This window comes from Homo sapiens, chromosome 1 (genome assembly GCF_000001405.40).
Source record: "Homo sapiens chromosome 1, GRCh38.p14 Primary Assembly".
In the NCBI taxonomy this organism is placed as follows: Eukaryota; Metazoa; Chordata; class Mammalia; order Primates; family Hominidae; genus Homo; species Homo sapiens.
The window spans coordinates 1266418-1292350 of record NC_000001.11 but is presented as its reverse complement, the minus strand read 5'-3'; the positions used below and the strand labels follow the sequence as shown (position 1 = coordinate 1292350).

At 60.4% G+C, this 25933-nt stretch overlaps 2 protein-coding genes and 1 long non-coding RNA gene across 16 annotated transcripts in view, besides 20 other annotated features; 1 reads left to right on the top strand and 2 right to left on the bottom strand.

Moving 5' to 3' along the window:
- Positions 263–332: a silencer, noted in NCBI's record as "silent region_51". NCBI's record gives its function as "represses an Ori minimal core promoter by ATAC-STARR-seq in GM12878 lymphoblastoid cells {active_cell/tissue: GM12878}" and the evidence as "EXISTENCE:reporter gene assay evidence [ECO:0000049][PMID:35858748]".
- SCNN1D (sodium channel epithelial 1 subunit delta) lies at positions 326–11915 on the bottom strand. Of its 2 annotated transcripts, NM_001130413.4 has the most exons (18): positions 11685–11915; positions 11054–11125; positions 10741–10940; positions 10036–10109; positions 8261–8373; positions 6687–6780; positions 6073–6425; positions 5376–5583; positions 5052–5242; positions 4755–4843; positions 4515–4678; positions 4314–4412; positions 1963–2080; positions 1796–1874; positions 1657–1714; positions 1398–1456; positions 1211–1286; positions 326–1097 (listed from the first exon to the last, which is right to left on the bottom strand). In NM_001130413.4, the coding sequence occupies exons 1-18, from the start codon at positions 11687–11689 to the stop codon at positions 741–743; spliced, it is 2409 nt and encodes an 802-aa protein (NP_001123885.2). In that variant the 5' UTR covers positions 11690–11915; the 3' UTR covers positions 326–740. The 2 variants fall into 2 exon arrangements, 1 of the variants encoding a protein (NP_001123885.2); NR_037668.3 differs by lacking the exon at positions 6687–6780.
- Positions 751–3044: a meiotic recombination region, noted in NCBI's record as "meiotic double-strand break mapped by DNA meiotic recombinase 1 chromatin immunoprecipitation followed by single-stranded DNA enrichment and sequencing in the germ cells of some male individuals with the PRDM9 A/A, PRDM9 A/B and PRDM9 A/C genotypes". NCBI's record gives the evidence for it as "EXISTENCE:chromatin immunoprecipitation-seq evidence [ECO:0000229][PMID:25395542]".
- Positions 751–4971: a biological region, named in NCBI's record as "CEB15 minisatellite repeat instability region".
- Positions 1424–1439: a nucleotide motif, noted in NCBI's record as "nucleotide motif; similarity to the predicted 16-mer PRDM9 C binding motif, CCNCNNTNNNCNTNNC".
- Positions 1489–1501: a nucleotide motif, noted in NCBI's record as "nucleotide motif; similarity to the predicted 13-mer PRDM9 A binding motif (LD hotspot motif), CCNCCNTNNCCNC".
- Positions 2054–4343: a repeat instability region, noted in NCBI's record as "repeat instability region; Alu fragment from PMID:21087171, which displays instability of the CEB15 repeat region". NCBI's record gives the evidence for it as "EXISTENCE:restriction fragment detection evidence [ECO:0001124][PMID:21087171, PMID:25485533]".
- Positions 2083–2095: a nucleotide motif, noted in NCBI's record as "nucleotide motif; similarity to the predicted 13-mer PRDM9 A binding motif (LD hotspot motif), CCNCCNTNNCCNC".
- Positions 2098–4151: a tandem repeat, noted in NCBI's record as "CEB15 (D1S172) VNTR, 18 nucleotide repeat".
- Positions 2423–2995: an enhancer, noted in NCBI's record as "H3K27ac-H3K4me1 hESC enhancer chr1:1224736-1225308 (GRCh37/hg19 assembly coordinates)". NCBI's record gives its function as "activates a minimal SCP1, AML or CMV promoter by ChIP-STARR-seq in primed H9 embryonic stem cells {active_cell/tissue: H9 hESC(primed)}" and the evidence as "EXISTENCE:reporter gene assay evidence [ECO:0000049][PMID:30033119]".
- Positions 3268–3814: an enhancer, noted in NCBI's record as "H3K27ac-H3K4me1 hESC enhancer chr1:1223917-1224463 (GRCh37/hg19 assembly coordinates)". NCBI's record gives its function as "activates a minimal SCP1, AML or CMV promoter by ChIP-STARR-seq in primed H9 embryonic stem cells {active_cell/tissue: H9 hESC(primed)}" and the evidence as "EXISTENCE:reporter gene assay evidence [ECO:0000049][PMID:30033119]".
- Positions 3435–4971: a meiotic recombination region, noted in NCBI's record as "meiotic double-strand break mapped by DNA meiotic recombinase 1 chromatin immunoprecipitation followed by single-stranded DNA enrichment and sequencing in the germ cells of some male individuals with the PRDM9 A/A, PRDM9 A/B and PRDM9 A/C genotypes". NCBI's record gives the evidence for it as "EXISTENCE:chromatin immunoprecipitation-seq evidence [ECO:0000229][PMID:25395542]".
- Positions 3815–4362: an enhancer, noted in NCBI's record as "H3K27ac-H3K4me1 hESC enhancer chr1:1223369-1223916 (GRCh37/hg19 assembly coordinates)". NCBI's record gives its function as "activates a minimal SCP1, AML or CMV promoter by ChIP-STARR-seq in primed H9 embryonic stem cells {active_cell/tissue: H9 hESC(primed)}" and the evidence as "EXISTENCE:reporter gene assay evidence [ECO:0000049][PMID:30033119]".
- Positions 4159–4171: a nucleotide motif, noted in NCBI's record as "nucleotide motif; similarity to the predicted 13-mer PRDM9 A binding motif (LD hotspot motif), CCNCCNTNNCCNC".
- Positions 8991–9191: a silencer, noted in NCBI's record as "peak7 fragment used in MPRA reporter construct". NCBI's record gives its function as "represses an SCP1 promoter by STARR-seq MPRAs in K562 erythroleukemia cells {active_cell/tissue: K562}" and the evidence as "EXISTENCE:reporter gene assay evidence [ECO:0000049][PMID:32103011]".
- On the bottom strand, positions 11744–18349 carry LINC01786 (long intergenic non-protein coding RNA 1786). The gene is made up of 3 exons (NR_185846.1): positions 17870–18349; positions 17052–17548; positions 11744–13283 (listed from the first exon to the last, which is right to left on the bottom strand). It is a non-coding gene; the product is annotated as a long intergenic non-protein coding RNA 1786 (long non-coding RNA).
- Positions 17013–17651: an enhancer, noted in NCBI's record as "H3K4me1 hESC enhancer chr1:1210080-1210718 (GRCh37/hg19 assembly coordinates)". NCBI's record gives its function as "activates a minimal SCP1, AML or CMV promoter by ChIP-STARR-seq in primed H9 embryonic stem cells {active_cell/tissue: H9 hESC(primed)}" and the evidence as "EXISTENCE:reporter gene assay evidence [ECO:0000049][PMID:30033119]".
- Positions 17863–17912: a silencer, noted in NCBI's record as "silent region_50". NCBI's record gives its function as "represses an Ori minimal core promoter by ATAC-STARR-seq in GM12878 lymphoblastoid cells {active_cell/tissue: GM12878}" and the evidence as "EXISTENCE:reporter gene assay evidence [ECO:0000049][PMID:35858748]".
- Positions 18073–18652: a silencer, noted in NCBI's record as "silent region_49". NCBI's record gives its function as "represses an Ori minimal core promoter by ATAC-STARR-seq in GM12878 lymphoblastoid cells {active_cell/tissue: GM12878}" and the evidence as "EXISTENCE:reporter gene assay evidence [ECO:0000049][PMID:35858748]".
- UBE2J2 (ubiquitin conjugating enzyme E2 J2) overlaps positions 18497–25933 on the top strand; it is a 19943-nt gene continuing 12506 nt past the window's right edge. For 2 of the 13 annotated variants that reach the window (NM_058167.3, NM_194315.2), the window contains exons 1-2: positions 18497–18685; positions 24359–24489. In NM_058167.3, the coding sequence (NP_477515.2) occupies positions 24359–24489 (131 nt within the window). In that variant the 5' untranslated portion in view covers positions 18497–18685. Of the gene's footprint in view, positions 19499–24358; positions 24619–25933 lie in introns of those variants that run through there. The other 11 variants (NM_194457.2, XM_047444339.1, XM_047444356.1 and 8 more) reach the window with 8 other exon arrangements.
- Positions 18842–19349: an enhancer, noted in NCBI's record as "H3K27ac-H3K4me1 hESC enhancer chr1:1208382-1208889 (GRCh37/hg19 assembly coordinates)". NCBI's record gives its function as "activates a minimal SCP1, AML or CMV promoter by ChIP-STARR-seq in primed H9 embryonic stem cells {active_cell/tissue: H9 hESC(primed)}" and the evidence as "EXISTENCE:reporter gene assay evidence [ECO:0000049][PMID:30033119]".
- Positions 19350–19856: an enhancer, noted in NCBI's record as "H3K27ac-H3K4me1 hESC enhancer chr1:1207875-1208381 (GRCh37/hg19 assembly coordinates)". NCBI's record gives its function as "activates a minimal SCP1, AML or CMV promoter by ChIP-STARR-seq in primed H9 embryonic stem cells {active_cell/tissue: H9 hESC(primed)}" and the evidence as "EXISTENCE:reporter gene assay evidence [ECO:0000049][PMID:30033119]".
- Positions 19857–20365: an enhancer, noted in NCBI's record as "H3K27ac-H3K4me1 hESC enhancer chr1:1207366-1207874 (GRCh37/hg19 assembly coordinates)". NCBI's record gives its function as "activates a minimal SCP1, AML or CMV promoter by ChIP-STARR-seq in naive H9 embryonic stem cells {active_cell/tissue: H9 hESC(naive)}" and the evidence as "EXISTENCE:reporter gene assay evidence [ECO:0000049][PMID:30033119]".

Sequence of the window (25933 nt, the reverse complement as noted above, 5' to 3'; positions counted from 1 at the left end):
TCCGGGGAGTGTCTGTGTCCCTTGCCCTCCCCGAGGGGCATTCCTGAGCCGGGTAGCACTCACTCAAGTCAGACTCCAACAGGCCGCAAGGGGCCTGATGGGGACCTGGGGCTCGTTTGACAAAATCTGGGTCCTGATGCCCCTGGTCCCCATTGTCTCGCCCTTCTACCCTTCTCTGTCCTAGACTGAGTTTCCTGGTGGGAAGAGGGGTGGACGCGAACCGGCGAGGCTAGGCTGGGGCTCGTCCCGCCAGGTGCAGTCAGGGTTTCAGCTCACCGGGCGCGGGGCGGCTGGAGGGGCACACAGGCACACACTGGCCGCCAGGTGGAGTCAACAGCTTTATTTCAGAGCAGCCCAAGTGTGTCCGTGGGGCCTGCCTTGCCTTCTGCCTCCCTGCAGCTGAGGTGGCTAGGCTTGACACACGTACACAGGTGCATCAGACGTGTGGACATGCAGACACAGACACACGGAGCATGGGTACATCACCGCGTGTCGGCACGTCCAGCCGCACTCGTGTGCACGCGGGAACCCCCCTCCGCCCCGGGCCTCCTTGAGACCCACCCCAGGCAGTGTAGGTGGTTTGACCAGAGGCGCCGACATGCCCGGTGCCTGCCTCCCCACGGCCGCGTGTGCTGCTTCCTGGGCTGCTGGTCTGGCCCACCCTGGGCCGCTGGGGAGCCTGCTGCTGCCACAGCTGCAAGGACCAGGCCAAGAGATCGCACAGCCCTGGCAGGTCTGGTTCAGGTGTCCAGAGTCTCAAGGGGCTGGGGCCCAGCCCAGCTCTCTTCGGCTGAGACTCCCGCCAGAACCCCTGGAAGCATCACCCGTGGGAGATGAGGCCCGCTGGGCTCCGGGTCATCTGACGTGCCGCCTGCAGGCGGGGGCATCTGACTGGCCTCTGGCTTGATGCTGGACGCCCCTGAGGCAGGGCTGGCTCTGGGCCAGGAGAACCACGCCCTGCGGAGCCGGCGGCCGCCTAGCACCAGGGTGAGGGCAGAAGCATCGAGCAGCAGCTCCAGGAGCTCCAGGAGGGAGAGGACGGAGGCCCCAAACCACAGGCTGCAGAGGCTGCCCATGGCCGAGAGCAGCTGCGGCACCTGCGGGTGGGGTGCGGGTGTGAGGGGCGGGCCCAGGCCCCCGTGCCCCTTCTGTGCAGGGCCAGCCACTGTCGCTGCCCCCGCTCTAGCCCAGGCAGGGGGCCAAGGCTCACCGAGTACACGGGCGCCTCCTCCACTGAGCGGTAGTTGAGCTCCTGGTAGACGATGTTGATTTTGGCCAGGCTGCTCCTGGGGCAGGATAGAGGCATGAGGGCGCTGGCCCAGACCTTCATGATGGGGAGGGGGGCTTTGAGGGGAGAGGGGCTGTGATGCCTCTCTGGAGGGGGAGGGTGCACCCACCTCTGTCTGTGGCTCTGATGCGGCAGCCCCTGTTCACCTAGCGTGGCCAGAGTCCATCCCTGCAGACGGAAGGTTTGCTGTGGCCACGGCTCCCCCATGCCCCCGGCCATCCTGGGTACCACGGGCGGATGTGGGGGCAGAGACCACGGGGCATAGGCTGGGTCAGTTCCGGCCCTGCCCTTGTCTTGGGTGGGCTCTGTGGGACCTGTGGGGTCTGCCTGGCTGTCCACACCCCCACCCCACCACTTTGGGGACTCACAGCTGACTTGGCGGAAGGCCACCTGGAGGTCCCAGTGGAGAGCTTGAATGCAGACTCCCTGGAAGAGACAGCCGGGTGTCACCTGCCACGCTACCTGGGGCAATGATCCCTGGCCGCGACCCCAACACCCCCGTCTCACCTGCAGGGCCTGGGGCAGCGGGAGGTACAGGGGAGCCGGTGGGTCTCCAGGTCCTGGTAGAGGCGGTAGAAGCAGTGTCCTTGGGGAGGGGTCAGAGGCATGTGTGAGGCTCGCTGTGACCCCCCGGCTAATGGCTGACAGAGTGGGAGGCAGCGAGCAGGACTCACCCCAGGCAGGGTGCCGGGCAGAGCTGCAGTACTCAGCCCCCGCCGGCAGAGGGTGGAGGTAGTAGCCACAGGAGCAGGTCTCCACCATCAGCTGCTGGAAGCAGGACACCAGGCAGGCCTGGGGACAGGGGGGATGAGCAGGGACATGGGATGGAGCGGAGACATGGGGGACGGGGCAGAGACACGGGACGGAGCAGGGACACGGGACGGAGCAGGGACACGGGACGGAGCAGAGACACGGGACGGAGCAGAGACACGGGGGACGGAGCAGAGACACGGGACGGAGCAGAGACACGGGACGGAGCAGAGACACGGGACGGAGCAGAGACACGGGACGGAGCAGGGACACGGGACGGAGCAGAGACACGGGACGGAGCAGGGACACGGGACGGAGCAGGGACACGGGACGGAGCAGACACGGGGGACGGAGCAGAGACACGGGACGGAGCAGAGACACGGGGGACGGGGCAGAGACACGGGACGGAGCAGAGACACGGGACGGAGCAGAGACACGGGACGGAGCAGAGACTCGGGGGACGGACACGGGACGGGGCAGAGACACGGGGGACGGAGCAGAGACACGGGACGGAGCAGGGACACGGGGGACGGAGCAGAGACACGGGACGGAGCAGAGACACGGGGGACGGAGCAGAGACACGGGGGACGGAGCAGGGACACGGGACGGAGCAGAGACACGGGACGGAGCAGAGACTCGGGGGACGGAGCAGGGACACGGGACGGAGCAGAGACACGGGACGGAGCAGAGACACGGGACGGAGCAGAGACACGGGACGGAGCAGAGACACGGGACGGAGCAGGGACACGGGACGGAGCAGGGACACGGGACGGAGCAGGGACACGGGACGGAGCAGACACGGGGGACGGAGCAGAGACACGGGACGGAGCAGAGACACGGGGGACGGGGCAGAGACACGGGACGGAGCAGAGACACGGGGGACGGAGCAGAGACACGGGACGGAGCAGAGACACGGGGGACGGAGCAGAGACACGGGACGGAGCAGAGACACGGGGGACGGAGCAGAGACACGGGGGACGGAGCAGGGACACGGGACGGGGCAGAGACACGGGACGGGGCAGGGACACGGGACGGAGCAGGGACACGGGGGACGGAGCAGAGACACGGGACGGAGCAGAGACACGGGGGACGGAGCAGAGACACGGGACGGAGCAGAGACACGGGGGACGGAGCAGAGACACGGGGGACGGAGCAGGGACACGGGACGGGGCAGAGACACGGGACGGAGCAGGGACACGGGACGGAGCAGGGACACGGGGGACGGAGCAGAGACTCGGGGGACGGAGCAGAGACACGGGACGGAGCAGAGACTCGGGGGACGGAGCAGGGACACGGGACGGAGCAGAGACACGGGACGGAGCAGAGACACGGGACGGAGCAGAGACACGGGACGGAGCAGAGACTCGGGGGACGGAACAGGGACACGGGGGACGGAGCAGAGACACGGGACGGAGCAGGGACACGGGACGGAGCAGAGACACGGGACGGAGCAGAGACACGGGACGGAGCAGAGACACGGGACGGAGCAGAGACTCGGGGGACGGAACAGGGACACGGGGGACGGAGCAGAGACACGGGACGGAGCAGGGACACGGGACGGAGCAGAGACACGGGACGGAGCAGAGACACGGGACGGAGCAGAGACTCGGGGGACGGAGCAGGGACACGGGACGGAGCAGAGACACGGGACGGAGCAGAGACACGGGACGGGGCAGAGACACGGGGGACGGAGCAGAGACACGGGGGACGGAGCAGAGACACGGGACGGAGCAGAGACACGGGGGACGGAGCAGAGACACGGGGGACGGAGCAGAGACACGGGACGGAGCAGGGACACGGGACGGGGCAGAGACACGGGACGGAGCAGAGACACGGGACGGAGCAGAGACACGGGGGACGGAGCAGAGACACGGGACGGAGCAGGGACACGGGACGGAGCAGGGACACGGGACGGAGCAGGGACACGGGACGGAGCAGGGACACGGGACGGAGCAGAGACACGGGGGACGGGGCAGAGACACGGGACGGAGCAGGGACACGGGACGGAGCAGACACGGGACGGAGCAGAGACTCGGGGGACGGAGCAGAGACACGGGACGGAGCAGAGACACGGGACGGAGCAGAGACACGGGACGGAGCAGAGACACAGGGAATGGAGCGGGGACACGGGGGATGGAGTGCGGGCCTCCACGGGGACTGCCCCGTTCCCAGGCCCTCTAGTACTCTCCCAGACCCCTCCCCCGTTCCACCCGCCCACACCCCCTGGCCAGCCCAGCCTCACCTGCCCCCGCACCCCCTGCCAGCCCAGCCTCACCTGCCTGGTGTAGGAGGTGTTGTGTAGCAGCTCCACCTCCACGCCTTCCCCGCCGGCGGTGCAGTGGCCGTAGGGGCTCCCGAGCCGGTGCACCTCGTCCTGGGAGGGGACGCTTCAGTTCCATGGGCCCTGCCCTCACCCCCCAAAGCCCAGGTTGGGCAGGAGGCCTGGGCCGGAGGTTGGCTGCAGAGGCCAGCTCACCTCTCGGATGCTGATGGTGGCCTCCGTCCCTGGCCGGACGCTGAAGCTGTGGTGCCCCAGGAAGGGCGTGTGGTTACGGCCGTGAACCATGACCCTGATGCCGGCCAGCGTGGACAGCAGAGGGAGGTGAGGCTGCTGCTCAACCCTGAGGACCAGGCCGACTCCTGGGAGGCCAAGGGCTGGTGTGAGGCCACCTGACCTGCACCCCTGCCCCCGCACCGGCCAGGGGCTGGCACCCACCGTGGGTGATGCCGGGGCGCTGAGCTGTCCAGACGCCATCGACCGTGTAGCAGCTGCCGTAGGTGGGGTGGTGGAAGGTCCGGAACTGTCTGGAATGAGAAGCCAAGCTCAGACCTTGAATGTCGGCTGCCCGCGCCCGTCACGCTGGCCTGAGGGGCCATGGCCTGCCCTGTGTCTGCGGAAAGTTCCTCCGGCCAGCCTTGGGTGGCTCCCAGCATACAGCCAGAGGGACCCCAGGGGTGCGGCCACGCTCTGTGGGGTGGGACGGAAGGAGTGGCCCCCGCCCGCCACACTCACCGGGCCTGGCAGTCCAGGCCATCGTAACTGCAGGAGAGGACGAAGTGGCCGTCCTGGCTCCCGTGGCTGTCCTCCCATGCCGCGGGCAGCAGGGCCAGGATATCCACATAGTGGAAGTGGTACCAGTCCTGGACAGCCGCCACGCCTGACGTGTAGCCTCGGTAAAAGCAGTCGCCGCCCGTGCTGTTGCACTGGGAGAGGGGAGGGAGGGTCAGCTCTGTGGCTACAGCCCAGGCCCCGCTCCCCACTCGAGGTACCAGCAGCGCAGGGCCGTGCTCCCAGCTCAAGGCCCTGATGGCTGCAGGCCCCGGCTGGGACACTCACCAGTCTGAACCCCACTCTGACCCGGCTGCCCGAGTGGCTCAGCCTCTGCAGACGGATCTCCCGGTCCAGGTGGAAGGGGGGCTCGTGGCGGGGGACAGTGGCGGAGAGGGCGGCTCTGCCTTTGCTGAGGTTGACGTTGTACAGGGAGTCAATGTTCTCCCTGGCAAACTCGTCCAGCAGCTCCAGATGGCGGAGGACCGGACTCGGCCTGGGACGCAGGGCCCTGGAGTCAGAGTTGCCGGCCCGGGGCCTCACACTGGCCCCAGCATCCCAGTGTGTGCTGTCGGGACAGCAGTGCCTCCCCTACTCGGGACGCCCAGTGGGGTGAGCTGGACCCAGAGCTGGAGTTGGAGGCCGTGGCTGCCGGTGAGGTCGGCCCCGGAGCCCAGCCCGCTCGCAGCCCCTCCCACCTTCCCTCCTTCTGGAAAGCCTCGCCCACCCCCACCTCTCCTCCCAGGCTCCCGAGGGCCCTGGTGTCCCTCCAGGGGGCAGTGACCACACTGAGCCCCCTCCTTGGCAGTCCGAGAGGTCCGGGCTGGGCACCGAGGTTTGGGAGGTCACAGTGACCAGGAGGGTGGCATTGACCACACAGAGCCCCCTCCTCGGCTACAGGGGCCAGTGGGGCTTCGGTTAGAGACGGTCACAGGGGCAAGGAGCTGGGGCGGCCACCCCTCCCGCCGACAGCCCTGGCCCTCACCGACGTGGGTTCCCGTCACACAGGGTGACCAGCGGGAGCAGCTTGCGCTCCGAGTGCACAGAGACGGCCATGAGGACCGGGCGGTGCCAGTGACGCTCAAAGAGGAGCCCCAGCTGCCAGCAGAGCGCGACCAGGGCTCCCAGGGACAGCAGCCCCCAGGACGTCGTCTTGAGGCGGTTCCCGCGGGAGCAGACCAGGCGGATGGCGCCGTGGATGGTGGCATTGGTGCAGAAGAAGGTGAGCAGCTCCCGGAACGAGGCGGGCAGCTCCACCAGCCCCTCCTGGTGCCCCTCCTTGGGTGGTGGTGGTGGTGCTGATGGTGGCCCCGGCCTGGGGGGCGTCTGGGCTGCAGCCTGTGTGCAGAGTGGCCTCAGCAGGGCCCGGCCTGCACCCACTCAGGCCTCCCTACCCTGGGCCTGTCATGTCTGTCAGCCACCAGTGCCCCGCCCTACCTGCTCGGTCGCTCGGACAAGCCCCTCCCAGGGTGCTCTGACACTGCGCCCTTCTCCCCGGATACACCCGTCCCTGACACGTCTCAGTGTAGCCTTGGAGCTGAGTTTGAGTTTGGGCTGCTGGGGCAGCAGGACTCAGAGAACAGGGTGCTCAGGCCCTACCTGGCCCTGTTTGCAGGCAGCGTTGTGCTGAGTGGGTCTGTGCTGCCATCCCTTCAGGTGGCAGGGCCTCTGGGGAGCCACAGGCCCAGGCGATCTACCCAAAGGCAAGTACGGTAGCGTGTCCATGCGCCCCGCGTGGGGTCTGGGGCTCAGGGGAAGACTTGCCCTTCTTGCCCCTGATGGCTGCACCCACCCCAGCCCCCAGTGTGGCCTGCTGAGGACCGACTGTGCCAGGCCCATCCAGCCAAGTCCAGGAAGCGTCTGGCCTGGACACCGCTCGGCACTGTGGCTCGGGGTGGCCCCATTGAGCTGAGTACCGGGGCCAGCTGCGGAGACACAAGGGCCCCAGGAAGCCCAGCCACTGCCTGCCCAGTCCCGCGCTGGAGGCTCTGGAGTCCTGGGACAGGCCTAGCTCTGGTCTGCGAGGCTGTCCCGCTGCCCAAGCCTGCTCCGAGGTACTCTGGGGAGGTGCTAGAGCGAGCCAGAAGCTTCGGGGCCTGGGGACACCAGGTGGGGACGGCTCCCCTCGGGTGTGTGGGCCGCACAGGCCTCCAGGCAGCCTGGCCAGGAGCTCCACCACTGGGCACATGGCTCTGCTCACCCTGCGTCCCCAAGGCCATCTGAGCAGGGAGGCTAAGAGGCTCGGAAGGGTCTTTGTGACTCCAGTCCCCACTCCTCGTCTCCACCTGGCGCATAGACAGGGCAGCACCATCCCCCTAGTGGGGGCTGCCAGGCCAGCAGAAGCGGGAGCTGTGGATTGGGGTCTGGAGGGCCAGTCAGGGTCCCCAGGGCTTCTGAGTGAGGCAGGGCCTGGACCCCTGGTCAGAGAGGAGCCGGACCCCACCCTGCATGTGCGCGTGTGTGTGAGACAGGACTACACTGGCCTCTCCACCCTGTCTGGATCTGCGTCGTGCCATGTGGCCAACCCACGGGATGCACAGCGCCTGGACACGCAGTATCTGCAGTGTTCTCCCGGGGTCTGTCCAGCACACGCTATGCACCCCCAATGGTCCAGCACACACTGTGCACCCCCAGTGGTCCAGCACACGCTCGGCACCCCCCGTGGTCCAGCACACGCTCGGCACCCCCCGTGGTCCAGCACACGCTGTGCACCCCCCGTGGTCCAGCACACGCTCGGCACCCCCAGTGGTCCAGCACACACTATGTACCCGCAATGGGACACAGCCTTCTTCAGGATAAGGAGGCACTCAGGGATGACCTGCCCCATTGCCACCATGCAATCCTGTTCCTGATGGCACACGGGGCCAGGCATCGGAAAGAGACCCCCCAACCCAGCCCCTGGTACCTCAAGGTGGGAGCCCCCCCGCCAGCCCCACCCCCCCACCCCTACCCCCCACCCCAATCCCCCCACGGTACCTCGAGGCGGGTCCCCCCAACCCCAACCACCACCTTGGTACCTTGAGGTGGGGCCCCCCAACCCCAACCCCCTCATCCAACCCCCCCAACCCCCTCACCCAACCCCCCCAACCCCCCCACCCCCCTCACTCAACCCCCCCCCCGACCCCACCCCCCTCACCCAACCCCCCCACCCCCCTCACCCCCCCCCACGGTACCTGGAGGTGAGAGCCCCCCCGTGTGGCTGCTTCCATTCTCCCGTCCATGCTTCGGTGCTCAGCCATTGCGGGGGCAGCTGGCAGCTCTGAAGCAGGATGGAGCCTCTGGCCTCCTATTTAAAACAGGCTGGCTGGGCGTGGGACTGTGCTGCAGGCGAGGGAGGACCCAGCCAGGGCAGCCACACCTGCCCCGGACCCAAAAGGGGAATTCCTGGGGGACAGAGATGCCCATCCCTCTGCAGGTGAAATCTTTCCCATCCTGAGCCCTGCAGGGGAGGCCTGGGGTCCTGACCCTGGCTGAGAGTAAGGGGCTGCAGCCTGTGGAGGGAGGGGGAGGACAGTGTTGGGCTGAGACCTCCTTGGAAGCCCCATCTTTCTTTCTTTCTTTTCTTGAGATGGAGTCTCACTCTTGTTGCCCAGGTTGGAGTGCAATGGCACGATCTAGGCTCACTGCAAGCTCCACCTCCCGAGTTGAAGCAATTCTCCTGCTTCAGCCTCCTGAGTAGCTGGGATTACGGGCACCTGCCACCATCCCAGGCTAATTTTGTATTTTTAGTAGAGATGGGGTTTCTCCATGCTGCTCAGGCTGGTCTCAAACTCCCAACCTCAGGTGATCCGCCCGCCTTAGCCTCCCGAAGTGCTAGGATTACAGGCGTGAGCCACCGTGCCCGGCCCAGAAGCCCCATCTTTCTCTGCCAGCTCCTGGAACTCAGATCCGGGGCCGTGGTGGGCTCCCAGCACTCCCTCCCTTCCCTGGCTGACAGACACTGGGTGGGGACCTCAGCTCCCAGATCCAGTGTCTCTCGGGACCAGCCGCCCAGCCATTGGGACAGGTGCTAATGTGGGAACACCAAGGGTCTGGGTGTGGAGAAGGCACCTGCTCCCCCGAGTAGGCACAGGGGCTCGCCCTCCCTGCTGGACACTATAGCTGCCACCAACCACACCACACACTAAGATGACGCGCCACACACTAAGACTTTCAGTCCACACCCACACCACACACACCAAGATGCTGGCACACATGGAAGTGACTCACGACCACCAGGCGCGGTGGCTCACGCCTGTAATCTCAGCACTTTGGGAGGCCGAGGCGGGCGGATCACAAGGTCAGGAGTTTGAGACCATCCTGCCTAACACGGTGAAACCCCGTCTCTACTAAAAATACAAAAAATTAGGTGGGCGCGGTGGCAGGCACCTGTAGTCCCAGCTACTGGGGAGGCTGAGGCAGGAGAATGGTGTGAACCCAGGAGGCGGAGCTTGCAGTGAGCCGAGATCGTGCCACTGCACTCCAGCCTGGGCGACAGAGCAAGACTCCGTCTCAAAAAAAAAAAAAAGAAAGTGATTCACAACACACTAAGACCCCACACATGCTAAGACCACACACGTATGCTAATACCTCACACACGCTACGACCTCACACACACTAAGACCACACACGCTAAGACCTCACACATGCTAAGACCACATGCTACTGTCAGGGTCCAAATCACAGTCTCCCAGGCTGGCGTCTTCAGCCCCAGTGCGGTTGTGTGGAAGGCAGGTGTCCCTGTCCCCCAGGACCACCCCATCCCTGTCTACTGTGGGACCCTAGATATCCAGGTGGCCTCACTGTCCCAAATGACCAGACCCGAGCCGGGCCCAGGTTGGAAGGGTAGGCTCTGTGTTCCTGACATCCTGCCCCAAGTGGTGCTGGGTCCCTGGGCTTGGCTGGGGGAGCCCAGCCCCACAGGGTCCAGCAGCAGAGCCATGGCTCTGAGGAGGGTGAGGTCACCTGCCTGCCGGCTCTGGAAGGAAGCAGCTGCCACCGGTGACGTCCTGGAGAGGAAAGCCATGCTGGAGTCACCCAGGCCTGTGTGAATCACAGCTTCGTCACTGGCTGTGTGGCCTTCCCGAGTTACTCAACCTCTCTGAGCTGATTTCCTTGAGTGCCAGATGGGGCTGGGGTGCCTCTCCAAGCTCGCGGCAGGGGGCTTGCTGATGTCACAGAGACCCCACAGGTCAGCGGCAGGGCCCCCGGACACAGCACAGGCCTGGGGCTTCTCCCCCACCACATCTGGGCAGCTTTGTGCGTGGGCCGCACCTGCCGAGGAGACAGGGCACACATGGCCCGGGCGGCTACTTGGCAGGCGGGGACAAGGTCCTAGGTGCTTGCCAGAGATTGTGGCTGGAAGCAGCCTGTGCCTCCCTGTGTCCCCGGGAGTGGCCTGGCAGACAGCCCAGCCTTGGTGCAGGGTGCAGAGAGAGAAAGAGCCCAGGTCCGGCCAGTGGGGCCCGGTCCAGCCAAAGGGCAGCTTGCAGGAGCAAGGCCCCCGGCTTCCTGTAGGAGGGGGAGCCCTGGCCGGGGGCAGAGCACCCCTTCCATGACCCGTATGCCCTGCAGGGCCTCAGTCAGAGCACATCTCGGCTGGATCACGCAGCTCCCGGCTCCACCCCCCTCCCCTCCTCCCGGGCAAGGCCTCTAAGGGCTGAGGTTCAGTCACCTGTCCCACACCCCTGTATCGGGCCAGAGAGTAGGCAGAGGGGGTAGCCACAGAGCACATGTCCAGCACTGGTGAATCCACATGGTCCTCCCCCTCTTCTGGGCCATCCCCTCGCTGGCCCGGTGCAGGGGGTGGGGTGGGGCGAACCCAGCTCCCGGCATGTGGGGGTCCTGTGGTCACTGCACCATGACCAGGTGAGCCTGAATGAGAGAAGGGACGGGCAGGCATCCCTGGCTCCCTTTGGGCCCATGCCTCTGCTCTCTCCCAGGAAAGACGGCCAGGCCCCATTGACCGAGCATGGCTGTGAGCTCACCTCCTTGGGCCGCTGAGGTGGCCGGGCCACAGGTAACGAGGGAGCGGTGTTGTCTTCTGTGACAGCACTGCCCTGGAGATGGCAGGCGCCTGGCATCTGTGGGACCCCAGCCAGGACCTCCTATCCCAGAGCCCCGTTTCCTCCCCTGGGGTGAGCGTCCCCCACTCAGGGTCACTCTGAGTCAGCCCTGGGACGGTTCTGGTGCAATAGACAGGCAGCCCAAGGTCGGGATTCCCGTGGGCATGGGCAGGCCAGGGGTGGCCTGGGGTCCCTCTGGGGTCCTGCACCCAGGCAGGTGAACAGCCTCCCAGGCAGAGCCCCCTCGGCCCCGGGCATCAACTGCACTGTCCAGTGGAGCCTCCGCAGAACAGGCACTAAGGTGGCACCAAGGTGCCCCCGGCTGCTGGCCTGGGTGGGTGCTGAGGGTGGGAGTGTGGAGCTTGGGGTCTGGCCGGTGTCCCCTGCTGGGAGGAGTAAGGTGCGTGTGGGCTGCCTTCTAGGTTCCCTCATAAACCAAAAATAAAATTATAAGCCCTGAACTGTCTGGATGGACCCCTGGTCTTAGCCATGGGCATTCCAAAGTTAACCTGAAAAACTAGCTCAGCTGTGATGGGAAGGGAGTCGGACGCACCTCATGCCTCCTCCCTGCTGGAATTCAGGCACAGCATCAGCATCACCTCAGGCCTTGAGTCTGATGAGAAGCATTTATAGTTGATTCTCTCTGAGGCTTGTGACCTGGTGGCTTCATCTGCGATAAGACCTTCATCTGCACAACGCCATACTGTAACCAGACATTCCCTTCTACTGATAACAACTCTTTTTTTTTTTTATTTATTGAGATGGAGTCTCGCTGTCGCCCAGGCTGGAGGGCAGTGGCGCGATCTCGGCTCACTGCAGGCTCCGCCCCCCGGGTTCACGCCATTCTCCTGCCTCAGCCTCCTGAGTACCTGGGACTACAGGCGCCCGCCACCACGTCTGGCTAATTTTCTGTATTTTTAGTAGAGACGGGGTTTCACCGTGTTAGCCAGGATGGTCTCGATCTCCTGACCTCGTGATCCGCCCACCTCGGCCTCCCAAAGTGCTGGGATTACAGGCATAAGCCACTGCGCCCAGCCTAATTTTTGTATATTTTTTTAGTAGAGATGGGGTTTCACCATATTGGCCAGGCTGGTCTTGATCTCTTGACCTGGTGATCCGCCTGCCTCGGCCTCCCAAAGTGCTGAGATTACGGGTGTGAACCACTGCGCCCGGCCACCTTTTTCTTAAGACAAGGAGAACGACTCCCTTTTGGGTACCCCATTTGGTTTCTAGCTCGGACGTGCGTTCCTAAGGGTCTTCTCTGTTGCTTTTTCTCCCAAAATTAAGCCCAACTGGCTTGTGCGTGCATTTGCATGAGGAACTGAATTGTTCTTTGCATAGATAAATGAGAGACTGAGTTTTCTCAGCTCCAGAAAGAAAGGCATTTTGCTCCTCCCAGCTGAAAGGCGCCCCTGGGTGACTGTGAGCCAAGTGGGAGTATCTCGTGGGCTGATCCCCCACGACGTGCAGCAGCCCCACAGGGAACCCCCCAACACAATTAGTTTAAAAAGGTTTGTCTGCTGGGTGCAGTGGCTCACGCCTGTAATCCCAGCACTTTGGGAGGCCGAGGCGGGTGGATCACGAGGTCAGGTGATCGAGACCATCCTGGCTAACACGGTGAAACCTCGTCTCTGCTAAAAACACAAAAAATTAGCCGGGCATTGTGGCGGGAGCCTGTAGTCCCAGCTACTTGGGAGGCTGAGGCGGGAGAATGGCGTGAACCCGGGAGGCAGAGCTTGCAGTGAGCCGAGATCGTGCCACTGCACTCCAGCCTGGGCGACAGAGCGAGACTCCGTCTCAAAAAAAAAAAAAAAAAAAAGGTTTGTCCAGGAAATGCACATAGGAGCTGGTCACTCTGTGTTTTGAGTCCTCTCGGAGGTGTTGGACTTCTAGAGAGAGAAACAGAGACACGTAAGAGGGCGAAGATGCCTCAGTGGTGACACACTGGGGAGTCCCGCCCACGACCCGTCCACGACCGGCACACTCAACCTGCTCCACGGAACCCCATTCCACAGCTCGGTTCCTCTGCGCCCCACCTGCTCCACGGAACCCCAGTTCCTCCATACTCAACCTGCTCCACGGAACCCCAGGCCACAGCTCAGTTCCTCCGCGCCCCACCTGCTCCATGGAACCCCAGGCCACAGCTCGGTTCCTTTCAAGAAAAAAAAAAGTGGGAAATAAATAATGTAAGCCTCAGCAAAGACAAGAGGGCGACCTCCTTCCAGGCACCCCGCTGGTTTCAGGCGCCTCTACCTGCAAGTGTTGGTATAAAACTGAACATGTCGCGGGCATGCTGGGTTTCCTAGTGCCCCAGCTGGTTCCATATTATGGTCTTTTGGGGCACATTTTAAACTGATGGGCAAATTCCATCCAGGAAAAATTCAGAGCCCAAAGGTCAGCCTGCAACTACAGAACCATAGAGTTCCTGGCCAGGCGCAGTGGCTCACGCCTGTAATCCCAGCACTTTTGGAGGCCAAGGCGGGCGGATCACCTGAGGTCAGGAGTTCGAGACCAGCCTGACCGACAGAGTGAAACCCCATCACTACTAAAAATACAAAAATGAGCCGAGCGTGGTGGCATGCACCTGTAATCCCAGCTACTTGGGAGGCTTAGGCAGGAGAATAGCTTGAATCTAGAAGGCGGAGGTTGCAGTGAGCTGAGATCGTGCCATTGCACCCCAGCCAGGGCTGCAAGAACAAAACTCTGTTTCAAAAAAAAAAAAAAAAAAGAACTATAGAGTTCCTAAGTTCTCTATCTCTCTGTTTCCTTTGCTGCCTGCCTTAAAGCTGCTGTTACACTTTTTGTTTTTTTTAGGTAGAGTCTCACTGTGTTGCCCAGGCTAGAGTGCAGGGGTGCGATCTCGGCGCACTGCAAACTCTGCCTCCTGGGTTCAAACGATTCTCCTGCCTCAGCCTTCCAAGTAGCCAGGATTACAGGTGTGCGCCACCACGCCTGGCTAGTTTTTGTAAATTTAGTAGAGACGTGGTTTCACCATGTTGGCCAGGCTGGTCTTGAACTCCTGGCCTGAGGCAATCCACTCACCTTGGCCTCCCAAAGTGCTGGGATTACAGTTGTGAGCCACCGTGCCTGACCAGCTGTTACTTTTCTACTGAGATGACATCCACAGTTTGCATCTAGATGTTTCTTTCTGTTATTGTTTTTCTAACTAGTGACTTTGTGTTGATATGTCATGGTTAGAGGTGTAAAGCAAAAGCTGTAGGGTTTTTGGATGAGTGTATATGTGTGTTTAGATGTGTTTATGTGTACGTGCGTGGATTCTGATACATGTTTTGTGGCCACAAGGTATCAAAGTGGCTTAAGGAGTATGCATACATTTAGTACATAATAACAAATTTCATGTGACTTAAGTAAAAAATTTTTTTTTTTTTGAGACGGAGTCTCGCTCTGTCCCCCAGGCTGGAGTGCGGTGGTGCGATCTGGGCTCACTGCAAGCTCTGCCTTCTGGGTTCAGGCCATTCTCCTGCCTCAGCCTCCCGAGTAGCTGGGACTACAGGCGCCCGCTACCACGCCCGGCTAATTTTTTGTATATTTTAGTAGAGACGGGGTTTCACCATGTTAGCCAGGACGGTCTCCATCTCCTGACCTCGTGATGTACCTGCCTCGGCCTCCCAAAGTGCTGGGATTACAGGCGTGAGCCACCGTGCCCGGCCAAAAGTATTGGTAAAGTAATATAAGGAGTGTCTTAAAAACTGTCAGCATACATTTTTGTTTGCATTTATTGATTTATAAGGGGTCAAAACTTGGCATAAGCATTGTAAAACTCTAAACCCAGCTGAAGGCCAGGCATGGGGACTCACACCTGTAATCCCAGAACTTTGGGAGGCCGAGGCAGGTAGATCACCTGAGATCAGGAATTGGAGACCAGCCTGGCCAACATGGCAAAACCCCGTCTCTACTGAAAAATACAAAAATTAGCCAGGTGTGGTAGCACATGCCTGTAATCCCAGCTACTTGGGAAGCTGAGGCCGGAGAATCACTTGGACCTGGGAGGGGGAGGTTGCAGTGAGCCGAGATTGCACCATCGCACTCCAGCCTGGGCGACAGAGTGAGACTCCATCTAAAAAAAAAAAAATTATAGGAAAACGTTCTTTCTACAAAAATTCTTATTATAAGGTAAATAATTTTGTCTAATTCAAAGCTTATTTAAAGTTTATGTATAAAATGAGTTAAAAAGAACAAGGAAATAAGAGAGACCAAGGAAAGTTATAGATATAAAGAGGTCTTTTTGTTAAGTAAGGTTAAAAAAAATAATTTTATATGAGAAAGAATCTTGTATGGTAAATTTTTGTCCTTAAATAAATGACTGGTTGTTTAAAAAAAGGGATGTTCAGCACAAACTAGAAAGTCCACATGTCGTGAACGGTCTGTGTAAGCTGCAATACCTTTGGTAAAAAAGGAATTTATAAAAATGTTACATGATAGATCGGGTGTGGTGGCTCATGCCTGCAATCCCAACACTTTGGGAGGCCAAGGAGGGCGGATCACTTGAGGTCAGGAGTTCAAGACCAGCCTGGCCAACATGGTGAAACCCTGTCTCTACAAAAATATAAAAATTAGCCAGGCATGGTGGTGCATGCCTGTAGTTCCAGCTGCTCAGGAGGCTGGGGCAGGAGACTCAATGGAACCTGGGAGGCGGAGGTTGCAGTGAGCCGAGATCATGCCACTGTACTCCAGCCTGGGCGACAGAGTGAGACTCCAACTTTAAAAAAAAAAATTGTTTTAAGAGGTAATGAATGCTGGTCCATGTCCATTCCTATCTGGCCTACAAAATTTAATGGGCTGTAAATCTTTTAACTGTAAGTCCCTGGGTCATAGGGAGTCAAACTGAGGGACAGGATTGACTGAGGGTGGGCAGCCACACTCGCCCAGCAACGCTGAGACACAATAAAGATTTGGTGGACATGGATGTTGCCTCTGGCAAATCTTGGCCAGAAGGGGGTGAATGTAAACCAAAAATTAAATTCTAAGGCCCCCCCAGCCGTCCAAATGGACCCTTCCTCTCAGCCAAGGGCGTTCCAGTGTTAACCTGGGAACTTGTTCAGGCCATGGCGGGAAGGGGTCGTGGGTCATGCCTCCTCCCTTTTGAAATTCAGGAAAAGCTGACTAGCATTAACATCAACACAGGCCTTAAGTCTGATAGGAAACATTAACAATCTATTCTCTCTGAAGCCGGCAACCCGAGGCTTCAGCTGCGTGGAAAACCACAACCCCTTACTGCAACCCAGACATTCCTTTCTATTGATAATAACTCTTTCAACCACTGTCGGTCAGGATCATTTTGAATCTGCCTATAACATAGAGGTCTCCCCACACCACCCCAATTTATCCTGCTCTTTCAGATTGAACCCGTGTAAATAAATCATGTCTCCCTAAAATGTATAAAAGCGAGCTGTGCCACATGCACCTTGGGCACCTCCCGAGATGTCATGGGTGTGTCCTTAACCTTGGCAAAACAAACTTTCTAAAGGGACTGAGACCTTCCTCAGTTTGCACCCTCCAGGCTGGGTTCTCTGTCCCTCAAGCATCCCCTGGCCAGACAATCCCTGCTGTTCAGAGGCAGCCAAGGCTTTCTGGTCCAACCCTGGGGGCTGGAGGAGGTGGGGGCAGGAGGTGGTAACTGGGTTGGGGGATGTTTTCTTGGTTGCCAAAGCAGAGGGTGCCCCCCGCTGCTCAAGATGCTGAGGGTGGTCCCTGTTGTCCTATTCCTGAAGCTGCCAGAGGAAGTCCCTCCGGAGGGCTGGCCCACAGCAGAAGGGCTGCTCCTGCCCTCAGAGGGCAATCTCAGGGTTGAGAAGGTTACAGCCACCATCTGCCACCAACCTAGCTGCTTGTGCCGATCCCACTGGCCAAGGCCATCGGCTCTATGGCTAGAGGCCTGGGCAGCCTGTGTCCTGCTTACCAGAAGGCCACAGATGCGGGTGGGTGGGGTGGTGGGGTCTTGGCAAGACGTGCTGGCCACACCTGTCCGGGGCACCTTCTCCCTGGGGTGTGACTCAGCCATGCTCCTGAGCAGGGGCCTCTGAGTTGAGCCTCGCTGCAGTCTTCCCAGCTGCAGGGCCCCCACAGGTGTGCTGTCATCGCACACTACTGAGGGACAGACAAGGCAGAGCGGGCCTCCATCTGCCGCGGGCCACAGCCGTGAGTGTGCATGCGAGTGGATGTGCTGGTGCCTGTATCTGCGGCCGGTGTGGCTTCCCTCACATAACTTTCCATGCTGTGAAAACAGTTTGGCCTGCCCTGCATGGGAACGGCAGAGGCCTGAGAGGAGGCAGAGGAAGGAGGCTGGATGCTGAGATGTTCTCCGAAGGTGGAGCCGGTGACGGCAGTAATGGAGGCAGGCTGGATTCCCACGGGCTGAGGCTGCGTGGACACTCCTCCTGGCTTCTGCCCCACGGCCTGCAGCAACGTCTCAGACCCACCAAGGTGTCCCAGAGGGCCAGAGTCAGGGCTGAGCATGGACACAGCCTGCCCTCTGCCCGTAGCCACAGCGGGACTGACCCTCAATATTCAGCCACCTTGCTGACCTGTGGTTGTTCCTGAGAGGCAGTCAGGGTTGGGGCAAAGGAGAGGGCCACAGGCAGCCAGGTGGCGAGGTCCACCTCCTGATCCCCCACCAGGGGACCACCCTCAGCTCCCCGCTGTCCTCAGCGGCCTCTCAGGGAGGCGGTGGGCTGCGCGCCTGCCCCCAGCGTCCCACCCCAGCGCCCCGCCACCTACCGCTCTCTCCCAATGTGTCTGGGGTCAGAGAGAGGTGGAGAGGACGCAGCGCCCCGCGCTTTCTGCAGTCTGTCCAAGGGGAGGTCAGGGGCATCCCGGGGCTGGGCAGGCACCTGCAGGGGAGGGTGCTGCGGCGCGGACGTGGGTTGCAAAGAGATGCCACGCGTGTCACTCTCGGGTCCCTGAACGAGAGAGCTCTGAGCTCCCTGGAGCCCAACCCTCCACTGAGCCTCCAGGGGCCCGGGACGCTCCATGCCCGGGCCGCGCCGCGCCTCCCCTAAGGGCCGGGTGGGGCGTGGGAGCGGAGGACAAGGCGGGAGCCGGGAGGCGGGAGGGTCGGGGTTCTTTCTCCACCGGGGTCGCCCTCAGCCGGGCCTGCCGCCCTGGGCCGTGGCACATGGGGAGGGAAGCGCGCGGCTTCGGGGTCTGGGGCTCTCGCGCCCACTAACGGTGCCCGGAGCCGCCCGCCAGTGCGCAAGCGCCGCCCCGCCCCCCGCCCCATCCCCCACCCCGGGGTCGACGGCGACAGAGAGTCGTGGGCGCGGTCCGCCAGTCTGCCTAGAGCGGCCAGCCCTCCCCCTCCCTCCTCACCGCCCCGGACCGCGCACCGGAAGCAGAAGCTAGGCTGGTTCCGCCCCGCGAGCGGCCATCTTGGAGGCTGAGGCGGCGGCGGCGGCGCTGCGGCGGGTTCGGTGGGCCCAATCCCGGGGCGGTGCGGCTGTTTCGGGCGCGGGCCCCGCTTTTCCGCACCCTGCTCCGGCCTCGACTACGGCGAGCCTGAGCGCGGCGGCGGCCCACGCGCAGCGACAGGGAGAGGTGAGCGCGCTCGCAGGCCTGCGCCGGGTCCTCGGGCCCGCTCGTCCCCCCTGCCGGAGCCGGCCACAGCGGCGGCCCGGGGCTGCTGGGGACCCTGCGCGACGCTTCTCCGTTCGCGCCCGCCGCCCGCGGGGCCCCGGCCCGAGCCTGCCTGCGCGGAACCCGAGGTCGGTTACGGCGGGCTCCCGGAGCTCCGGGTCAGGGTCATGTCGGGGACTTGACCACTCGGCCGGGTTTCCCGTCAGCTGGGACACTTGCAGCTGCCCCAGGACGGGCAGCCTCGATCCTGGTTCGTCAGTGGATCACGGGAGTCTGTGTCGGGGGAGGGCTGCCGTCGAGCCCGCCGTCGCCTCGCCCCTGAACTGTTAGACTCCAGACTGCCCCGTAAACCCCGAGAGAAACGAGCGTGCCCGGGACTGTGCTTAGGGCCAGCGTTTCTGGGAAACCCGGGCGGTGACAGTGGGAGACCACCGCCGGCCGGCGAGTGAGACACGAGCCCGGAACAAGTCTCTAAGCGGCGCCGGGCCTCGCCATCCACACCTGCCAGTTCCCTGCATCCTTTCAGCCCCTGGCCAGGTGTCACCTCCTGGCGTCCTTTTCAGTGCCTGCCACTTAGTGCGTGTGTATTTAACTCTAGTCCGGTTGCCATCCTCTTGCCAGACCCAGATAGGAAGCGGCTGAAAGGTCGGGCCTCAGCCCGGTGGGAGGTGGGCAGCGAAGAGTGTACAGCGGGCTTGGCTGGGGCAGGTCGGTGGCCCCGCGCCCTGCTCCAGGGGAACCAGACTGTGTAATCTGGCTTCCGAAGAAAGGATCGTGAGTATCTCGCTTAGTCTAGCACCTGAGCCTAGGGCGTGGTTGGGTCTGGGTGCCCGGAACTTGCAGTCCGTCATCTGCACGGCCTGGCACCGCTGACCTCCTTAGCAGTTCCACTCTCGGCAGGGATGTGCGTGAGTGACAGGCAGGTGAGCCAGGCAGGTAGGTGAGTGCTTGAGTGACAGGCAGGTGAGCCAGGCAGGTAGGTGCGTGGATGAGTGACAGGCAGGTGACCCAGGCAGGTGCATGTGTGAGTCGCAGGTGAGTGTCCCATTTCCATCGGCCCGGGCTTCCGTCCAGCCTCCGGAGCAGTCTGGTGGAGAAGGCAGAGACTTCCCTGGCAGTCCTGGACCTGGGTGTGCCATGCGCCTGGCCGATGGGTCAGGCCAAGGTTTCCTGCCACATCCCCTAAGCAGGAAAGAGCTGTCCAGACAAAGAGGGACGGGTGAGGGACGCTGGGCAGCCACTGCCTCAGCACCTGGGCACAGCTGCCCTCGGTGATTCACGCTGCTTTAATGCAGTTTCTGTGTGTGAACATTTTTTTTTCCTGTGCCTTTTTGTTTTAAAATCGCCAACTCTTTCTCTCAGCAGGATGATATGCTTGGTGTCCTTTGTCTGTGGGGATGTTTGAAGGGAACCCGAGGCACATATGCTTCAAACTCTGTTCTCACAGTTTGCTTCCTTTGTGGAATTTTTTTTTTTTGATACAGGGTCTCTGTTGGCCCAGCTAGAGTGCAGTGACATGATCTCAGTTCACTACAGCCTCCGGCTCCCGAGTTCAAGTAATTCTCCCACCTCAGCCTCCAGAGTAGCTGGGATTGCAGGTGCCCACCACCACACCCGGCTAATTTTTTTTTTTTTTTTTTTTTTTTTTTTTTGAGACGGAGTTTCGCTCTTGTTGCCCAGGCTGGAGTGCAATGGCTTGATCTTGGCCCACCACAGCCTCCACCTCCTGGATTCAAGTGATTCTCCTGCCTCAGTCACCCGAGTAGCTGGGATTACAGGCACATGCCACCATGCCTGATTAATTTTGTATTTTTAGTAGAGACGGGGTTTTACCATGTTGGTCAGGCTGGTCTCGAACCCCCGATCTCAGGTAATCTGCCTGCCTGGGCCTCCCAAAGTGTTGGGATTACAGGTGTGAGCCACCACGCCCAGCCCCTTTGTGAATTTTTGTTTTCCTTGTCCTTCCTGCTGTCATATTGGGATGAGAAGAATTGGGGGAAATAGCCCCCTGGCCTCCTGGGGGACGTGAGAATGCTGTTCTGTGTGAAGCTCAGGAAGAGTGGCTGGGGAAACAGCAGTTGAATCGTGAACATGATTTTAAAAGCCTCTCCAAGCAGGTATGGGAGAGAAGCTTGTTTGTGACTCATTGGATGGAATCTATTTTATTTTTGCGCGGCTGTCCATGAACTTTCGTTAAACCTGCGGCCTGGCCACTTAGCTAAGCCCAGACCCACCTGCACTTGAATTGTCCAGTGAATTATTTTGTATATGGCAGAGTGTTAGCTTCAGGGTGAGTGTCGAAAGGACAGCCTGTGTGGCGGTGCTGCTTGGGGTCATCACTGTGGCCATCACCAGGTGTTGGCCTGAGGGGAGATCCCTGGCCCATTGGCTTCTTTAGCCAGGAGCTGGGGATGCCACTGTGTGGAAGCACTTCCTTCCCAGGCAGGACTGTAACCCCATCCCTGGTGGGGGCCCTCCTGGGGAGGCACTCCTTAGGCAGAGGAACCCGCTGGGGCCCAGAAGGGCCCTGCGTTGTGTGTGGGGTCACATGGAGGCCAGTGATGTGTGACAGAGTGGGAGGCATTTGGCAGGGAAATCAGGGAGGCCTCTGAAGGCGGTGGCTCTGGCTATGCCGGGAAGGGCCTGGGGAGTTTCCAGTACAGGCTAGGCTGGGAAGCAGCTGTGAGAAGGAGTGTGTCGGTCAGGACTTTGGAGTGGGACCTGGGCCGTGCTGGGTCTTGGGAGTTGGGAACGAGGAGGGCTGGCTGGGGCTGCTCTGTCTTGGGAGCTGGGAATGAGGAGGGCTGGCTGGGGCTGCCTCTGTCAAGGGGCTGGCAGGCAAGAGGACGTGTTGATGTTTATTTGCTTGGCTGTGGAGTATCCTGAAGGGTGGATGGGGGAGTGGGTGATCGGAACAGTATGTTGACTTATGGGTACAGGAGGGCCTTGAAATGGGAAGAGACTAGAAGCTCAGACCTTCTGGACCCACGGGGGGAGTTGGGAGGCTCCTGTGGTGTTGATGGGAGAAGTGATGACATTTTGCGTTAGAGAAGATAATGAGAGTGGGAAGGCTGTGGTGAACAAGGATTGCAAGAGTCAGGGACCCCAGAACAAGAAGCAGGGTTGGGGGTGGTGCTGAGGCCACACATTTGGGAGCACGCGTTGGGTGCCCTGGCTGAGCTCTGCACTCCAGGCCCTGGGTGTGTGGGGTGAGCAGCCAAGCCCTGGCCATTGACATCCTCAGGTTGGGAGCAGACACTAAACAGGCTGCTGGTGGTGGTTCTCTGAGGAGGAATAAACCGGTTAGAGAGGCCAAGTCTGTAGATCTCTTGCAGGTGGAGACTGAAAGGAGGTGGAATGTGTGGCTGTCTACAGGTGTATGAGTTGGTTCTCATGCTGCTATAAAGATGTACCCGAGACTCAGTAATTTATAAAGAAAAGGGGTTTAATGGACTCACAGTTCCGTGTGGCCAGGGAGGCCTCAGGAAACTTACAATCATGGCGGAAGGGGAAGAGGCATGTCTCACATGGCAGCAGGCTAGAGAGAGCGGGCAAGAGCAGGGAACACTGCCTTATAAACCATCAGATCTCCTGAGAACTCGCTTTCACTGGAACGGCTTGGGGAAACTGCTCCCATGATCCAGTCACCTCCCACAAGGTCCCTCCCTCAACATGGGGGATTATGGGGATTACAAGTCAATATAAGATTTGGGTGGGGACATAGCCAAAGCATATCAGCAAGGAAACTGGGTAGAGTAGACTTCCGGTTTGTGGGAACTGGGAGGTCAGGATGGAGATCACTGGTCACTGTCCGTTATCGATGGCCACTGATGTCCACAGACGTTATTAAATCGTGTGGCCATGGCTGGGCGCGGGGACTCACGCCTGTAATCCCAGCACTTTGGGAGGCCGAGGTGGGCAGATTACCTGAGGTCAGGAGTTCGAGACCAGCCTGACCAACATGGTGAAACCCCGTCTCTACTAAAAATACAAAAAAAATTTGCTTGGCATGGTGGCAGGCACCTGTAATCCCAGCTACTTGAGTGGCTGAGGCAGGAGAATCACTTGAACCCAGGAGGCAGAGGTTGCAGTGAGCGGAGATCACACCACTGCACTCCAACCTGGGCAACGAACAGTGAGATTCTATCTCAAAAAAAAAAAAAAAATAAGGTTTGAGTTGGAGCTAGTCTGATGCAGCAGGGAGCCCTGTTTTCATCACCACCCCTCTCCCCAGTCTCAGGTGTGGCTGAGGGGCCTTGGGGTCCCTGATCCAGCCTCCTCTCTTGCATGATGATCACCACCCCTCTCCCCAGTCTCGGGTGTGGCTGAGGGGCTTTGGGGTCCCTGATCCAGCCTCCTCTCTTGCATGATGATCACCACCCCTCTCCCCAGTCTCGGGTGTGGCTGAGGGGCCTTGGGGTCCCTGATCCAGCCTCCTCTCTTGCATGATGATCACCACCCCTCTCCCCAGTCTCGGGTGTGGCTGAGGGGCCTTGGGGTCCCTGATCCAGCCTCCTCTCTTGCATGGTGCCTCGCGCCCCATGCTCGGCCTTCAGTGCTGTCTTGAACGTCCCAATGGAGCCACCAGAGTGACTTTCCTAACAGAAGATATGATCTGCCTTGAGGCTTGGACCCCAAACCCCTGTGGGGCCCGGGTTACCGTGGCTCCTGCCTGTGATTCCAGCACTTCCGGAGGCTGAGGCCTGAGAATCAGTTGAGGCCAGGAGTTTGAGACCACCTTGGGCAACATAGTGAGATCCCAGCTCTACAAAAAAAAAAAAATTAGCTAGGCGTGGTGGCATGCGTCTGTAGTCTCAGCTACTCAGGAGGCTGAGGTGGGAGGATTGCTTGAGCCGAGGTGGTCAAGGCCACAGTGACTCCAGCCTGGGCGACAGAGCAAGACCCTGTCTCACGAAAAATAAGTAAATAAACTCTTATGCCCTGGCCCTGCCTCCCTGGCCAGTCTTATCCCTGCCCTCACTGTGCTTGGGCCCTTGCACACTGCACTTTCTCAGGTGTGGCCTGTTCACCTGTGGCCCCTTCTACCAGGAAGACAGCTGCTCTGCCCAGTGAGTGCCTTGGAGTCTCCAGAGTCCTCGTCCCTCCAGCCGCAGAGGCTCCCCCGTTCTGCGGCTCGTTTTGCTTGTGGCTAGTGGTAAATGCTGGGCAGCGGGCTTCCGGGTGCGGTGAAGGGGCCGGCGGTGGTGCCTGCCCACTTCTATGGTGTGGATTCTCCATCAGTGCGGGGTCCTTGAGCTGAGTTGGAAGGTGCGAGTAGCTGCCCTCAGGAGCTGGTCTGAGGCTGTGGCCCGAATACCCCCTCAAGCCCTGTAAATGTATCCCTGCGTGAGTTTTTGGAGGACAGGAACGAGGCTTTGGGTTTCTCCTCGTCTTTGTACCTGAGCTGTACGTCGTGTCAATGAAGGTGGTGGCGGGACAGACGGGAAGAGAGAAGCCGCAGGGCCTCTGGGTGTCTGGGCGGGTGGCAAGCGAGGGTGACCTGTGAGCTGTGACTCTGGGTGACCGGGCCCTGAATGAATGGCGGGCTGCAGAGGCGGGAGTGGGGCTGCGCCAGGGGAGAGAGCTGTGGCCGGCGCTGCTTCTCGTCGTCAGTGTAGACGTTGCTTTTAACAGATGAGCAGCACCAGCAGTAAGAGGGCTCCGACCACGGCAACCCAGAGGCTGAAGCAGGACTACCTTCGCATTAAGAAAGACCCGGTGCCTTACATCTGTGCCGAGCCCCTCCCTTCGAATATTCTCGAGTGGTAAGGCTCCGCGCCACTGATCGCCCTGCGCTGACTGTCGCTGCCACGCAGGCCTCTGCCGGCCCCTGCTGGGCGAGCCTGGTGCCCCAGTCATGGCATTGGCAAGGTGCTCCTGCACCCTCCCCCGGGGTGAGTGGGGTGCCCAGGGGCCTGTGGACACTCTCTGGTCTTTTCCCAATGGACGCATGCCGGGGACATCACAGAGCCATGCTTGACTCAGGCTGGGGCTGGAGAGAATCTCCGGTGTGGGGCCCTTGAGGGGGGCGGGGTCCAGGTTGACTCAGGTTGGGGCTGGAGAGAGTCTCTGGTGTGGGGTCCTTAGGGGAGGGGTCCAGGTATGCAGGGTTCACAGCTGTTGCTGGTGTGCACTCTAGGCACTTAGAGGAGAAACTGCCTTTCTAGACTCTGCTCTTTGCTTCTGGATATGGGAATTAGCCTGTTTTGGCTTGGAGTATTTGACAGGACTAGGGTCCGACACTCCTGTCCCTGGCACTGGCTTGGGCCAGGTGCCCCGACCCTCAGGCTGACAACGAGAGGACCTGTGCCTCATAAGCATTCACCTCATGGTGACTCTCCCCCTTGCTGAAGTATAGAGTGTGAGAGTGCATACTGCTCTGTCGAAACACTGCCATTACAGGTCTGCTAGTAATTTGGTAAGAAATAAAGTGTGAGAGGCCGGGCATGGTGGCTCACACCTGTAATCCCAGCACTTTGGGAGGCTCAGGCGGGCGGATCACCTGAGGTCAGGAGTTCGAGACCAGCCTGGTCAACATGGTGAAACCCTGTCTCTACTAAAAATACAAATATTAGCTGGGCATGATGGCGCACACCTGTAGTCCCAGCTACTCGGGAAGCCGAGGCAGGAGAATCGCTTGAACCCGGGAGGCGGAGCTTGCAGTGAGCTGAGATCACACCACTGCACTCCAACCTGGGCAACAAGAGCGAAACTCTGTCTCAAAATAAAATAAAATAAAATAAAATGTAAGGATGTTTTATATTTTGATCTTTTAAAAAAAAATTACTTATTATTATTTTTTGAGACAGTCTTGCACTGTCACCCAGACTGGAGTGCAGTGGCACAATCTCGGCTCACTGCAAGCTCTGCCTGCCGGGTTCATGCCATTCTCTGGCCTCAGTTTCCCAAGTAGCTGGGACTACAGGCGCCTGCCACCATGCCCGGCTAATTTTTTGTTTTTGTATTTTTAGTAGAGACGGGGTTTCACCGTGTTAGCCAGGATGGTCTTGATCTCCTGACCTCGTGATCCGCCCGCCTTGGCCTCCCAGAATGCTGGGATTACAGGCGTGAGCCACCACGCCCGGCCTTATTTATTTTTTTGAGACAGAGTCTTGCTCTGTCGCCCAGGCTGGAGTGCAATGGCGTGATCTCGGCTCACTGTGACCTCCGCCTCCCTGGTTCAAGCAATTCTCCTGCCTTAGAGATGGG

Bases quoted from the DNA above. Each gene is read 5' to 3' on its own strand.
- SCNN1D (NM_001130413.4), bottom strand. The intron at 10,941-11,053 runs GTGAGCTCACAG...TCTCTCATTCAG, and splicing joins CACCTCAGCGGCCCAAGGAG to GCTCACCTGGTCATGGTGCA. The intron at 1,875-1,962 runs GTGAGTCCTGCT...CCCCTCCCCAAG, and splicing joins TGCCCGGCACCCTGCCTGGG to GACACTGCTTCTACCGCCTC.